This window comes from Homo sapiens, chromosome 9 (genome assembly GCF_000001405.40).
Source record: "Homo sapiens chromosome 9, GRCh38.p14 Primary Assembly".
Taxonomy (NCBI): Eukaryota; Metazoa; Chordata; class Mammalia; order Primates; family Hominidae; genus Homo; species Homo sapiens.
Genome location: NC_000009.12, coordinates 20,876,713 through 20,892,452, shown reverse-complemented (window position 1 = coordinate 20,892,452; position 15,740 = coordinate 20,876,713). Strand labels below are relative to the sequence as shown.

Below are 15,740 nucleotides of genomic sequence, written 5' to 3'. Positions count from 1 at the left end.
CTGGTTAACATTGATATCTTGACCTCTTCATATAAATCACGGATGTTCTTAATGACATCTACATGGTAAATCCTTTCCAGAAGGTTTTCAATTTATTTCTCCCAGATCCAACAGAGGAATCACTATCTATGCCAGCTATAGCCTTACAAAATGCATTTCTCAAATAAGACTTGAAAGTCAAAATTACTCCTTGATCCATGGGCTGCAGAATGGATGTTGTGTTGGCAGTCATAACAACAACTCCATCTCCTTGAACACCTCCATCAGACCTATTGGGTGACTAGGTGCATTGTCAGTTAGCAGTAATACTTTGAAAGGAATCTTTTTTTTTCTAAGCAGTAGTTCTTAATGTGGGATTAAAATATTCAGTAAACCATGTATAAACAGATATGCTGTCATCCAGGCCTTGTCCCATTTCTAGAACACAGAAGAGATTCAGCGTAATTCTTTAGAGCACTCAGATTTTCAGAATTTTAAGTAAAGTTGAACTGGCTTCAACTTAAGTCATCAGCTGCATTAGACCCTAACAAGACAGCCAGCCTGTCCTTCAGGCACTGACTTCTCTTCAGCTATAAAATTTCTACAAGGCATCTTCTGCCAATAGACAGCTCTTTCACCTACATTGAAAATGTGTTGGTTAGTTTAGCCATCTTCATCAATGATCCTAGCTAGATCTTCTGGATAACTTGCTGCAGCTTTTACATCAGCACTTGCTGCTTCAACTTGCACTTTGGTGTTGTGAAAATCGCTTCTTTCCTTACACCTCAGGAACCAACCTCTGCTACCTTCAAACTTTTCTTCTGCAGTTTCCTCACCTCTCTTAGCCTTCACAGAATTAAAGAGTGTTAGAGTCTTCCTCTAGATTAGACTTTGGCTTAAGGGAATGTTATGGTTGGTTCGTTCCTTTATCCAAACCACTAAAAGTTTCTCTAAATCAGCAATAAGGCTGTTTTGCTTTCTTATCACTCATGTGTTCACTGGAGTAGCACATTTAATTTCCTTCAAGAACCTTTTCTTTGCATTCAAAATTGGCTGTTTGGTGCAAGAAGCCTAGCTTTCAGCCTATCTCAGCTTTCAATATGCCTTCCTCGCTAATCTTAATCATTTCTAGCTTTTGGTTTCAAGTGGTAGATATGTAACTCTTCCTTTCATTTGAACAATTAGAGGCCATTGTAGTTATTAATTGGCCTAATTTCAATATTGTTGTGTCTCAGAGAATAGGGAGGCCCAATTGGGGGGACATCTGGTTGGTGAAGAAATAAAAAATCACACAACATTTATGAAGTTCATGGTGCTATGTGGGCACAGTTTGTTATACCTCAAAACAATTACAATCGTAACTTCAAAGATCATTAATCATAGATCATCACAACAGACATGATGATAAAAAAGAAATATTTCACATTTTGTTAGCAAAATGTGACACAGAGACATGAAGTAAGCATATGGTATTGGAAAAATGGTGCCTAGATAATTGCTCAATACAGGGCTGCCACGAACCTTCAATTTGTAAAAAATGCAGTATCTGCAAAGTGCAACAAAATGAGGTGTGTCTGTAGGTAGATACACAGATAGGTAGATTAAAAAAAAATAGCCTCATGTATACTAAATAAATGGAATTCACAGTTACAAACAGTCCTATAAAGAAAACTCCATGCCAAGATGCTTTCACTGGAGAATTCTACCCAACATTTAAGGAAAAATTAATAACAATTCTATACAAACTATTTCGGGAAATAAAAAAGAGGGGAACTCTACACAACTTGCTTTATTTGGACAAAATTACCCTGATAACACAACCAGGCAAAATTACTACAAGAAAACTACAGAACAACATGTCTCATGAGCACAGATGCAAAAATCCTTATTAACAAAATTTTAGCACACAGAATGAAGCAATATATAAATAGGCTATGATCAAGCGGAGTGTATCCCAGGAATGCAAGGTTGGTTTACATTAGAAAATCAATCAAAATAAGTAATCATATCAACAAATTTTAAAAGCGTTGAATCATCTCAATTGATACAGAAAAAGCATTTTACAAAATTTAACATCTATTTGTGATTAAAAAAAAAAAAAAACCTCTCAGAAATCTAGGACTAGAAGGAAACTTCTTCAACCTGACAAAGGAAGTCGACAAAATCTGTATATAAACATCATATTAAACAGGGAAACACTGAATATTTTCCCCTAAGTGAACGAGACAAGAATATTAACTCTCATCAGTCCTATTCAACACTGTAATGATGGCCCTAGATAGTGCAGTCCAGCAATAAAAACAATTGACAGGCATACAGATCAGAAAAGCAAAAATTAAAAGCATCTTTATTTATAGACAACATTACAGTGAAAAACAAAAATAATTTACAAAAAGACTGTAAGAATATATAAGTTGGTTTAGTAAGGTCATAGAAAAAATCAATTGGATGATTATAAACTAGCAATAAACAGTAAAAAATTAAAATAAAAAGTCCAATTTGAATAGCATCAAAATACTTAGGGATATGTAATACTTACGAACTTTAACAAAATATGTCCAAGATTTATAATACAAAAAAAATCAACATAGACAATTATACCTTGTTCATGGGTCTAGATACTCTATTACCAAGATGTCAGTCCTCTCTCAAGTTGACCTACAAATTCAATGCATTTACCATTGAAATCAGCAAACTTTTTTGTGGTTTCTTAAAACTGGTTTAAAATTCATATAGAAAAGCAAGAGATCTAGCATAGTCAGAACTTTTTTTGAAACATGAAACAAAGTTGGAAGACTCATACTACTTGATTTCAAGACATTATAAAGCGAAAGTTATTCAGCTATGTATGTCATTGCGGTGAAAGCACAAATCTACAGATCTCAATGGAACAAAAGTGAGTACAGAAATAGACCCAAACATATATGGGCAAGTGATTTTTGCAGAAGTGCCTAGGTAATTCAGTGAATAAAAGATGGTATTTTCAACAAATAACACATACATTATACAAAAATTAACTCAAATGGACCTAAGCTAAAAAGTAAACCTTAAAATGTAAAACTTCTACAAGAAAACACAGAAGGAGATCCATTAGCTGAAAGATGGATAAATTAAATGTGGTATATCCATGCAGAGAAGTATTATTCTCACACAAAAAAGAATGAAGTACTAATACATGCTACAACATGGAAAATCCCTGAAAACATTATACTAAGTGAAAGAAGCCAGACATTAAAAACCATGTATTGTATGATGGTATTTATATGAAATGTCCAGAATAGGCAAATCTACAGAGGCAGAAAGTAGATTAGTGGCTGCTGAAAGCTAAGGACAAGGGAAAATGAAGAGTGACTACAAATGGGTACACAGTTTCTTTTCTGGGTAATGAAATTGTTCTAAAATTGTTTGTGGGAATGGTTACACAACTCTGTGGATACACTGAAAACCACTGAGTTGTATACTTTAAATAAGTAAATTTTATGGTATATGTATCACACCTTGTATCAGTCCACTTTCACACTGCTGATAAAGACATACCCAAGACTGGGTAATTTGCACAAGAAACAGGTTTAATAAGCTTACAGTTCTACATAGCTGCAGAGGCCTCAAAATCATGGCAGAAAGCAAGGAGGAGCGAGTCACATCTTAAATGGATGGCAGTAGGCAAAGAGAGAGGGTGTGCAGGGAAACTCACGTTTTTAAAACCATCAGATCTCATGAGACTCATTCACTATCATGAGAACAGTGCAGGAAAGACCCGCCCCCATAATTCAGTCACCTCCCACTGGGTTCCTACCGCAACATGTAGGCATTACATTTCAAGATGAGGTTTGGATGGGGACGTAGCCAAACCATACCATACCTCAATTTCTAAAAGTAATTTAAAAGAATAAAAATAAAACACAGGAAAAAAGAAAATGAAAAATTTTTGTAATCTCGGATTAAACAAAAAGCAAGAACCATTTTGTAAAATTTGGTAAGTTGAAATTCTTCAAAATGAAAAGTCCACTCTTCAAAATACATTATAAAAAAATGAAGGCCAGGCGCAGTGGCTCACGCCTGTAATTCCAGCACTTTGGGAAGCCAAGGCAGATGGATCATGAGGTCAGGAGTTTGAGACCAGCCTGACCAACATGGTGAAACCCCGTCTCTACTAAAAATACAAAAATTAGCCGGGCATGGTGGTGCACACCTGCAATCCCAGCTATTTAGGAGACTGAGGTGGGAGAATCGCTTGAGCCCAGGAGGCGGAGGTTGTAGTGAGCTGAGATCGCACCACTGCACTCCCGCCTGGGCAACAGAGCAAGACTCCATCTCAAAAAAAAAAAAAAAAAGAAGAAAAAAAAAAAAAGAAAATGAAAAGACATGTAACACACTAAGTAAAAAAAAAAAAAATATCCAGAATATATAAAGAACACTCTTTTGAAAACAAAAGCCCCAATTCTAAAAATGGGCAGAAGATCAGAGCAAACACTTCAGGAAGAAAACAGATACATACAAAATAAACACATGAAAAGATGCTTCAACATCATTAGTTATTAAGGAAACACAAATTAAAACCACAAAGGGAAACTAATACTACTCATCTACAAGAATAGCTAAATTTTTTTAATTGACTATATCAAGCACTGACAAGAAGGCAGAGCAACTGAAACTCTCATACCTTGCAGATGGGCATTCAAAATAAGACAGCCACTAGGAAAACAGTTTGATAGTTTCCTATAAAGTTATATATGAATTTACCACATGACGTTGCACTCTCACTCCTAGGTATTTGTTTACTGAAAAGAAACAGAAAAATGAATGTTCACACAGGGATCTGTATGAGAATGTTTATAGAAACTTTAGTCTTAATCATTGAAAACAGAAAAAACCCGAAGGTCCATCAACTGGTGAATTAATAAACAAACTGCAATTCTCAAGAAATACTTGGAAATATGGCTGGGCACAGTGGCTCATGCCTGTAATCCCAGCACTTTGGGAGGCCGAGGCAAGTGGATCACCTGAGGTCAGGAGTTCGAGATCAGCCTGGCCAACATGGTAAAACTCCATCTCTACTAAAAATACAAAAATTAGCTGGGCGTGGTGGCGCATGCCTGTAATCCCAGCTACTCGGGAGGCTGAGGCAGGAGAATCCCTTGAACCCAGGAGGCAGAGGTTGCAGTGAGCCGAGATTGCACCATTGCACTCCAGCCTGGACAGCAGAGTGAGACTTCATCTCAAAAAAAAAAAGAGAAAGAAAAAGGAAAGAAAGAAGAAATACTTGGAAATAAAAAAGACTCAGGATAAAGTAATGGGAGGATCAAAAGCAGGGTTTGAAGAAATTTCATCTGGAAAAATCCCAAATTGATTGCAACAAAAGAAAGACAAGATGCAAGGAGATGATTTAAGAGAGCTTAGAGTAATCTTGGAAAAATCCAAATGTATTTCTAGAATCTTCTCTGATTAACCTGGGAGAGAAGATGACAGTTCAAGGACTATGGAGCCTCACTGCCTGGGTTCAATTTCCAGGCTCCTCTACTTGTTAGCTATGTGACCTTGACACATTAACAGCACCTACCTCACAGTGTTGAAAGTATCTAAATCGATTATTAGCTGTTATTATTGCAATTATTTTTATTAACCAGCTCTGAAAGTTCATATTATTTCTTGTCACATAGTTTGAGAAACTTCATGGGTCCCCCAGCCTTTGTGTTTTAAGCAAATGAACTACATATACTGAGCAGAATATGGAATCCAGTCTAAAATCCTACTATACATTTGGCAGAATTCTGTCCAATACGCCTTCTAATTGACCCCTAAAACAATGATGTTATTTTCTTTTCCCTTTGAAATTTTCTAGACTCTCTACAGCACAAGCAACAAGTATCTTAACCCAAAGATTTTCTGTGCTTATATCTCGGACACACCTCATAACTTCTGATGCCACTGCCAAAAGTTATCAGATGTCTTCTGCCATCCCCTGCACTAATGCTTTTTCTTGTTTCTGTTCTGATGGTGACTTTTTATTATAAATCAGCTTTTCAGTAAGACTTTAGACTTCAGTTTTCCTTCAAATATCTAAGTGCACAGCTTAAAACACAAAAAGGTACCACGTTTCTCCCTTCTCTATGCCAACTAATGAGATGCCAGGGACAAAAAAAACATAGAAATCACCTATGTCTGAAATTAAACCTTCCTCCTAGAAAAGCGTTGCTCTTCCCAGATCCTTCTTCTCTTTTTAGTTGAATGAAGACACTATATTAGGCAAAAAAAAAGCTTCTGAAACAAGTATTTACACAATTTTAATTCTAACTAAATATATGAAAGGAAAATGGATGGCAAAGGACAAAGATGGGTCTTGAAAAACCCTCTGAATTTTGCTGTGCTATGAAACTGGTGGCAATTGGTGTGATACAGAATAAAAGTGAATCAAATTAATTACAACCAAATGTATAAATTAGGCATCAAAATAAGATGTTATAGAAAGATATTTTAGAAATGCTAATTATTTTTACATCAAGTTCATTAAATCTTTACAATTCATATATTTTTACTTATAACTGATATATAACCTACTATGTCTGAACTATATAAATCTCTTTGCTGTGACATTTTGTTTTGTTATTCATTCATACATTTTAATTTGTATACATCATATGAGTAAGTGTGATAAAATATTTAAAAACAATAAAAATACATTTCCCAAGGACTTTCCAGCTTCCCTCTTCCCCTGGTTTTGCCATAATCTGCAATAATCAGATTTCATATAAATCATCTAATAGAATCACAGAACTTTATTTTTAAAAGGTAGCTGAAAGGAAAAGTAAAATAAACATTAAAACCAAGGGTTATTTTTCTAAAATGCTTTTATTTACTTTTAATTCCAAACACTCACAAAATACAAACACTGGTCCCCTACATAATTGCAAAGGATTAGAATTAAGATATAGGCAGTAGCATTTCTTTAAACAATAAATTGATATTTATTCTGAATAATGACAGTTAAGCATTGATGAAGTAAAGCAAATTCCTAGACATTACTCCCTAATAAATACGCTGGGCAGTGGGGGAAAACATGGCAGTTTCTTTCAGAAATACATTGAAATATTTGAGTATTCAGTTGGGTCAACTATTTTGGTGGCCTTTAAAAGCAACTTACATTAATTATGATCAAAAAAATTATTTCTAAACAAACAACTTCTTAAACATATCATGAAGGGAGAAAACACTAAAACATAAAGAAGAGGACACGGGAACCTACCTCATGTACAAGAGCAAGTGAAGTCTGCTTGAAACTTCGCCCTCTGCTGGCCATCAGTCTGTTCAATGGTTTTCCATCTTTACTCTGATACATGGAAACATCATAGCAAAATAACATACCACCTTTAAAAAAAATTATATAGACTTTATTTTATTTTTATTTTTATTTTTTTAAGACAGAATCTCACTCTGTTGCCCAGGCTGGAGTGCAGTGGTGCAATCTCAGCTCACTGCAACCTCCGCCGCCTGGGTTCAAGGGATTCTTCTGCCTCAGCCTCCTGAGTAGCTGGGACTACAAGCGTGTGCCACCATGCCCGGCTAATTTTTTAAGTTTAGTGGAGACAGGGTTTCACCATATTGGCCAGGCTGGTCTCTAACTGCTGACCTCATGATCCGCCTGCCTCATCCTCCCAAAGCGCTGGGATTACAGGTGTGAGCCACCGCGCCCAGCTTACAAAGACATTTCTTATGGAAAAACTTTACTAATTAGATTCTCAGTAACTGATAATCAATCTGGATAGAGATATTTATAACTAAAAGCTAACTTGTTAAGCAAATTATGATTTTTGACCATTTATATATAAGGAATAAAAAAACACAAGAGATTTAAAAAGCTAATATTTAAAATACTATTGGGACAGGCACGGTGGCTCACACCTGTAATCCCAGCACTTTGGGAGGCCAAGGTAGGCAGATCACTTGAGGTCAGGAGTTTGAGACCAGCCAGGTCAACATGGTGAAACCCCATCTCTACTAAAAACGCAAAAATTAGCCAGGCATGGTGGCGAACACCTGAAATCCCAGCTACTCGGGAGGCTGAAGCAGGAGAACCACTTGAACTAGCAGTGGAGGTTGCAGTGAACTGAGATTGTGCCACTGTACTCCAGCCTGGGCAACCAAGAGAAACTCTGTCTCAAAATATAAACGTAATATAATATAGTATATTACTTATTGACTCATAGCTTTTTAGTTAAGATCACATGTAAAATATTATTTACAATTTACTTATGAGTAAATAAGTATAAGTATAAATAAATGAACAAATTTGCAAGTCTTGACTTTGTGAACTGTTTAGTTCTAGAGATTCTATTAAGTTTTTTAAAAATTTCAATTAAAGAGAAATACTTGCACATATTAATCTTCATGAACACATGATAACATGGGTCCCTTTAGTTTATACTCAAAAGTGGACAAGCTTTCCCTCATTCCTGTATTCACATACACTCACTCTCCCTCTTCTCCCTGCCCTTTCCACAACGGTCAGTTAAGCTCTCAGCTGAACCTCCAGCTTATTTATGTTTTTTATTGCACTGAGTTTTATTATCTTTATTATTTCTTCCCTGATCCTTTAAGTTTGATTTGCTGTTCTTTTCCAAGCTTCTTGAGTTGGAAGTTTAAATACTGATTATTTTCCTTTCTTTTCTAAAATATACATTGAAAGTGTGAATTTCCCTAGAGGGGAAACAGTGTTTAAAAATACTATTTTAGCTGCAACCTACAGGTTGTTATATGGCTTATCTTCATTATCATTCACTTCAAACTATCTTCTCATTTCCATTTTGATTCTTTTCTCTGATCCATCCATTACTTATAAGTATACTGTTCAATTTTCAGCCAACTGGAGATATCATGGTAATCATTTTTGTTATTTATTTCTAGCTTAATCCCATTGTCATCAGAGGACAAACTCTAAGTGACTTCAATATCTTGAAATTTATTGAAGTTTGTGGTCCAGCGTATGGTCATTTTGGTAAATTTTCCATGTACAGTTAAAAGATATATAAATTCTATCACTATAAGGTACAATGTTCTACATGTCTATACAGTAGTTTGTTCATAGATTGTTCAGATATTTTGTGATCTTATAGATTTTCTTGTCTCCTTGCTCTGCCAGCTACTGAAAAAGATATTTTAAAGTTTCCATTATTATTGTGGGTTTGTCTATTTCCTCTTTTAGTTCTACTCATTTTTGTCATATATTTTGAAAGTATGTTATTTCATGTAGGCCAGTTAGAATTGATATTTTCCAAAGAGAGTGACTTCTTTATCTCCAGGAATCATTCCCTTCATTTCCAGCTTCTTCCTTTGTCCTGTGTCTAGTGCAGTATATGAAAGAACCACAGAAGTACTAAATGGTGTTATTGTCAATCAAAGAGTAGTTTTCCTCTCTCCTCTGTTAGGCAGACTGGGTGAAGGACTGATTACCTCAACCTAATCAGGAATTGATCTGGGTTAGGACTGATTATAACTTTTGTAATTTGAGTCCAGCTCTGGTTCACTCCTTTGCCAGGGTATATCTCCCCACAACACCCCCCACTAATTGGCAGTCTAATGAGTCTTTGACTCCTCAATCTGAAAAAATTATGAGAGATTTAGGTCTGCTCTCAGAAATTTTCAGCTTAGCTCTTTAGCTTTCCATCCCATAAAGCTTCAAAATGTCGCAAATAACTTGAGAGAAATTGGCCTTGTGCTCAAGGTCACTCAAGTTCTGAGTTGTGTCACTCTTGCTCCACATGATTGCCAAGATGTCTGCTGGTTTCTCCACCTCCTCACCAGCTTCTCAATAAAGTTGAGGCTGAATGCTCAGATTCCAGCTGTGGCCAGAATTAGTAAGTTCACCCAGGTGAGAGCAGTTGCAGATCTTCAGTATCAATTCACCATTCTCTCTTGGGCTTTTACCTCTTGCATGCTGTTTTTTCAAGCCCATTCTCCTAGCTCGTCTTTGTTTCCTAAGCATCAGAAGACTAAAAGGGATTTCACTTTGCCTTTCAGAAGCTTTCAGCCTAGCTCTTTAGCTCTTGGTGCAAATTCAAAATTCAGCAAATGTCCTGTGAGAAAAATCTCTAATTTGTCGCCCTAGTCCCAGGCAATCACTAAAAGCTCCTCTAGTTTCTCTTTCTTCCAACAGGCCATGCCTCTGGGCTGAGTGGGTATCCCCCAAGGTGGGGAGAAAACAGTTCTAAAATGTTATGCTGACTCTGAAACTTAAATCCATCTATTTGTCTTTGCTTCTACAGTTCTGCGATGTCTTTTAAAGTGCGATGATTTTTATAATTTATCCACATGTTAGTAGCAGCAGCAACACCCTGCCATGGCCCATTATATCCTACTTGAAAGTGGAAGTTAAATCATTACATGAAAAACCTGTATTTTTGATACTATGTACTACCCTTACCTGCAAGGCCAGGTTTCAGTCCTGGTTGCTTGTTTGTTTCATACATTTTCAATATAAAATTGGGGATTCCTGCTACAGTCTTTCCTTGGTCTGAGCGGGCACCTCCTTTTAATGCAGAGTGATATATCCCACGAGGCATATTCACCATTTCTTGCTTCACAAGTGATGTAAAAAATTCCTCCAAAGCTAAAAGAGGATAAAAGGAGACCAAAAGTAGAGTAAATACAATAAGCTAGAAGAGAAACATGCGTTCTTAACTCATATACAAACAACTAAGCTACATTTCTGGCCAAACCTTACATGGTAAAAAGAGACCTCTTGATACCTATCCCTTTCTTAGTCTTCCTCCAAATTAGAACATGGCACCAAGTTGCTCAAGCTTAATTCCTCTCTTTCCCTCACTTATTACATGTAATCCATTAGCAAGTCCTTCTGATTCCACCTTCAAAATCTATCCCAAATCCATCAGTTTCTCTCCATTTTTCACTGCTATTTATCTACTTATTATCTTTTGTCCTCCTCATACAAACTAATGTAAAAACTAGTTTACTGAATTCTTTTCCTCTTGACCATCCTCTATAAACCTTCCTCTGCCCAGAGGCCAGAATTTTGTCATTCCTGTCCCTAACACCTTCCAGTTGCTTTTCACTGTGCATAAAATAAAATCACAACTTCTGACCATGATCAAGACCTTTTATAATCTAGCCCTGACTCCCCCTCAGAGTTAATGTCTAATACCCTACCTCCTTGCTATGTTGAAGTCACACTTACATATGGCCTCTTTCCATTCCTCAAAAACACAAAGTTGATATTTAAGTCAGTGCCACTGCATTTGCTATCCCTTCCACCTGGAACATATCAGTCCCACATTTTCATGAGAATGGCTCCTTCTTATCATTTAAGTGTTTTCAGAAAAACCTCTTTCATAACTATCTATACTTAGCAATATTAGGACAATTATTTTAAAATGAGATATTTGTCCACTATCTTTGCTTGTGTTCTTTCTAATTAAGCCCAAGATCTTTATCATTTGACATTTTACTTACTATATAATAACAGAAATATGATGTCAGAAGACAACAGGATGTATAAACAAAATATTTGATAAGACTATAGGTTCATATTCAAATGTGATTTTCCTAAGGACCACTAGAGGTTGCCCAATACAGAAACAAACAAAAAAACAAAAAACATTAAAGCTAAACAAATCATATGTAGCGGAAAATGAAAAAAGAAAACCACTGCATGTGGCTCTTACAGAAACAAAAAGCAAGGGTCCACCTAACTGGAATTTCATTCTGAAGAGATCTATCTAAAAGTCTCCTTTAAATGAATATGATTAAATTAAAGGCAGCAAGAGCTCACTGGACCGTCTATTATATACCCATTTCTGACAGGACCCTCCTAGATGCAATCAAGATTCTCCATTCAAAGCTCAAAAACACCAATATGTGACGTTTTCCATTTACTCCTTCTTATCTATCCTCTATCCTTCTCAACCCTGCTCTGTGCTCTGGAAAAACAGTCTTTAAAGAAAGGCATTAACAGGCTCCCATGTCCTCTGGCTTCTGGTTGGTTTCAACCACTGGAGTCACTGGCAGGACATCAAAGGGTGAAAACAGTGAAGTCAGGAGATGTATTCCCCAGACACAGGGCTTCTTGCAGGATTGCTACAGGTTGCCTGCATTCCTCTTCTGAAAGTCTTGGCTCCCCTTAGGCACCCCAATTTATAATACAGATACTCTTTCTTCTTCCTCCCGTTATCTCTGTAGGCCAGAGACATTAAGCACTCTGAGACGGTTTACCATCTCTTGTGAGTTTCCCTTAACCTTGACAACACAACTGTAAATAGGTTCTTTATTAAACTCTCTCCAATTACTCAATCTGAATGTATCCCCCACCCTTTCTTGTCATAACAGTGATCAATACATCATTTACACAAAACAGATGAGTAATATCCGATTGCAGGCCATGTACCCCAATTTCTGCATACACATACACAGGGACTGCTTCAAAGTGGGTATAATTATAGACTTTACAGAATGCAGCTATGAATCAACTGTTTGTGAGGGTAGAGGCACTATGATGAAAGAAAGTAATTTCTTCCTTTCTCAGAAGGATCCTATTCTGGCAAAAGGTGAAACATGTCAAGGGGCAAGAACATATCTGCACATAGACTAACCCAGCAATGGAAGTTTTCTACTTACCAAGCTCTACAGTGAACTACAGATGTTTACCTAACACCAGCCCAGGGATTAATTTAAATGAGGATAAGATGCCAGGAGGCTAAGTGTAGTTGATGTATAGAGCTTCATCTTCCCGTAAATACTAAGTTAGCAACTAGAATTTTTCTCGTTGCTTTTGAGCTTTCCCCAATCTCTTTCTTACCAATGACCAGATGGGAATTTAAAAAGAAGCTGAAAATTCGTAGGACACAAAGTGTCAGACATAAATTCTCAAAACAACCCAAATGTCCTCAACAGCTGAATGGATCAACAAACTGTGTTACATTCACACAATGGAATGCCAGTCAGCAATAAAAAAGAAAAAACAATTGATACAGGTAACTATTTGGAATAAATATAAAAAACTAGTGCTAATAATAATCCCAAAAGACACAGTCCCACACACCATAATCCCAAATGCTGAAATTCTGGAAGATCAAAATCCCTTAAGTCTAAACTTCCTAACATCTAAAATCCCCAAAATCACAATCCCAAAAGGTTAAAATCCCAAATGTTGAAATCCTGAAAGCCTAATCCTGGGGAGGGAATTAGTGCATTTTCAGTTGTACACAGGATAGTTGCATCTGTTAGGCAGAACTATTACCTTGTTACTGTCTTTATTTGGAAGTTAAGGAGATGTGTATGGGTGCCAGTTGACAAGGGGTGAACTTGTGAACTTAAGTGTCAACTTGGCTGGCTTAAGGAATACCTAGAAACCTGGTAAAGCATTATTTGGGGTTGGGGGTTGTGAGGGTATTTCCAGAGGAGATTAGTATGTGAGTCTGAGTAGTGTACAGGGGAGATCTGCCCTCAATGTTGATGGGCACCATCCAATTGTCCAGAGACCCAGAGAGAACAAATGCAGAAGGTGAACTCTCTATGAGAGCTGGGACAGGCTTCTGCTGCTGCTTTTGGACATCAGAACTCCAGGCTCAACAGCCTTTAAACTACAGGACTTTCACCAGCAGCCCCCTGGGTCCTGAGGCTTTTGGCCTCAGATTGAGAGTTACACCACCCACTTCCCAGGTTCTGAAGCCTTCGGACTTGAATGGAGCCACACTACCAGAATCCCAGTCTCCAGCTTGCAGATAGTCTGTCACACAACTTAGCTACTGTAATCATGTAAGCCAATTATCCTAATCGGTCCCCTCATATATCTATATACATGTCCTATTGATTCTGTCTTTCAGAAGAAATGTGACTAAAATAGATTTGGTATTGGAGAAGCCAAATACAATTCCTTCTTACTATATTCCTTACAACAGAGTGGAAGAGATATGCGAAATTGTTCTCTCACGAAAAGGGGTTGTGATAAGTTATGTGTACAAGGCTACTTAATGGTGAAAGAAGTTCGAAAGTTAATTATTATTGATGCAGCAAAAGCAGAAAATTGCTTATTTCCAATGGCCGAGCAATAACTAGACTTTCAGATGGAGAATATATACTCACCAAATTTCTAGACCACAACCACTCTCCAAATACAAGTACAGTTCACATTTTGAAGATCACAGAAATGAAAACGCAGGCAAAAAACACAAGAAATCTCCCCTGCCAAATTATTTAATCATGTACAACTTCCGCCCCTTCACACATAGTGCCAACTTGCTATGCTATGTATTTCATTTTTGCATCTTTTCCGATACTGGAAGTACAAATTGTATAAAGACTTCTAAAGAGTTCTAATTGGTTTTATGCATTTTTTTTTTTACAAATATGACTCCACAAAAGTGCATTATCACAACACTGACTTTGTGTGTAAGTATTGTGTATGTATGTAAAAATGTTGAAACTTCCACAATAAGTAGAGATGTCATTTTTGTATATCTGCATTTGTGAAACATAAAATATCTCGAGATCTCAATTCTTTGAGTGACTGCATAAAGAGTGGTAACCCGTTGGGGTTTTTGTTTGTTTGTTTGTTTTTTTGAGATGGAGTCTCTCTGTTGCCCAGACTGGAGTGCAGTGGTGCAATGTTGGCTTACTGCAACCTCTGCCCCAGGTTCAAGCGACTCTCTCGTCTCAGCCTCCCAAGTAGCTGGAATTACAGGTGTCTGCCACCATGCCCGGCTAATTTTTGTATTTTTGGTAGAGGCAGGGTTTCACCATGTTGGCCAGGCTGGTCTCGAGCTTGAGGTTTTCGAATGATTTTGTCAAAAGACTTCAGTTGTGCATCAGAGTATTTCCGGTGACTGCAGTTACAAACCTGGGAGCCCACAACCACCAGTCATAGTGATAAGCATTTATACATATTGTTTTGAGGGCTATTTGTTTATGAATACAGTTCATCTGCTCATAATTGTTAGATTGTGGCTGTTGTTAGTATACCTGTTTATGATTGCAAAAATATGTACATTACTTTGCCTATTTTATTGTGTAAAGTGATCTATGAAGTGCTCTGCTGTGTTTTTATGTTTCTCAAGTAAATTGCCTTTTAAAATGTAAATAAACATCTTTTAAAGAACATTTTATTATTTTTCTAGAATTACATTTTTGAGATTTCAGAATTGTGATTTTGAGGATTTTAGACTTTAGATATTTTAATCTTTCAGGATTTCGGCAATTACAATTATGCTATTCGGGATTTGGTCTTTCAGGGTGATGGCCCAAACCCCTCAAGGACACTTGACGGGGAAAGAAATAGCTAATCCCTTAAGTTTATATACTGGGGGAGAAAACCCTATAAAATTCACATCGGTCTATAGTTTAAGTTAGTAATATTGTGCCAATGTCAATTTTCTGGTTTTAATATCATACTATGGTTATGTGAGATGTTATCAACTAGAGCACCAGGTCAAAAAAGGTACACAGAACTCTCTAAACTGTTTTTGCAACTTCTTGGAAGTGTAAAATTATTTCAAAACTATTTTTTAATAATCAATAGCAGTAACATCTCTATTTAAATAATGCAAATTCCTGGATTCACTTTACAGCTGCTTTTGTGTTCATTTGAAAGGAATTAAAAGGAGAAAGGGGCAGGATTCACTTAAATTCAGCACAACCCACTTTTCTGTCTGTAGCATTTGGTGACTAATATATATCATTCATCCTGTGCATTTTAGGGTATATATTCCTAAGGCTGGTGACTTTTTCCTGGTTCTTTTTCTAGTTCTGTAATAATC

The 15,740-nt window shown here is 36.7% G+C and overlaps 1 protein-coding gene across 19 annotated transcripts in view; it reads right to left on the bottom strand.

Moving 5' to 3' along the window:
* Positions 1-15,740, bottom strand: part of FOCAD (focadhesin) — a 340,326-nt gene that overhangs the window by 103,498 nt on the left and 221,088 nt on the right. For all 19 annotated transcript variants that reach the window (XM_047423537.1, XM_047423539.1, NM_017794.5 and 16 more), the window contains 2 exons: positions 10,397-10,582; positions 7,223-7,344 (listed from right to left, as the gene is read on the bottom strand). In XM_047423537.1, coding sequence (XP_047279493.1) covers positions 7,223-7,344; positions 10,397-10,582 — 308 coding nt within the window. The remainder of the gene's footprint in view (positions 1-7,222; positions 7,345-10,396; positions 10,583-15,740) is intronic.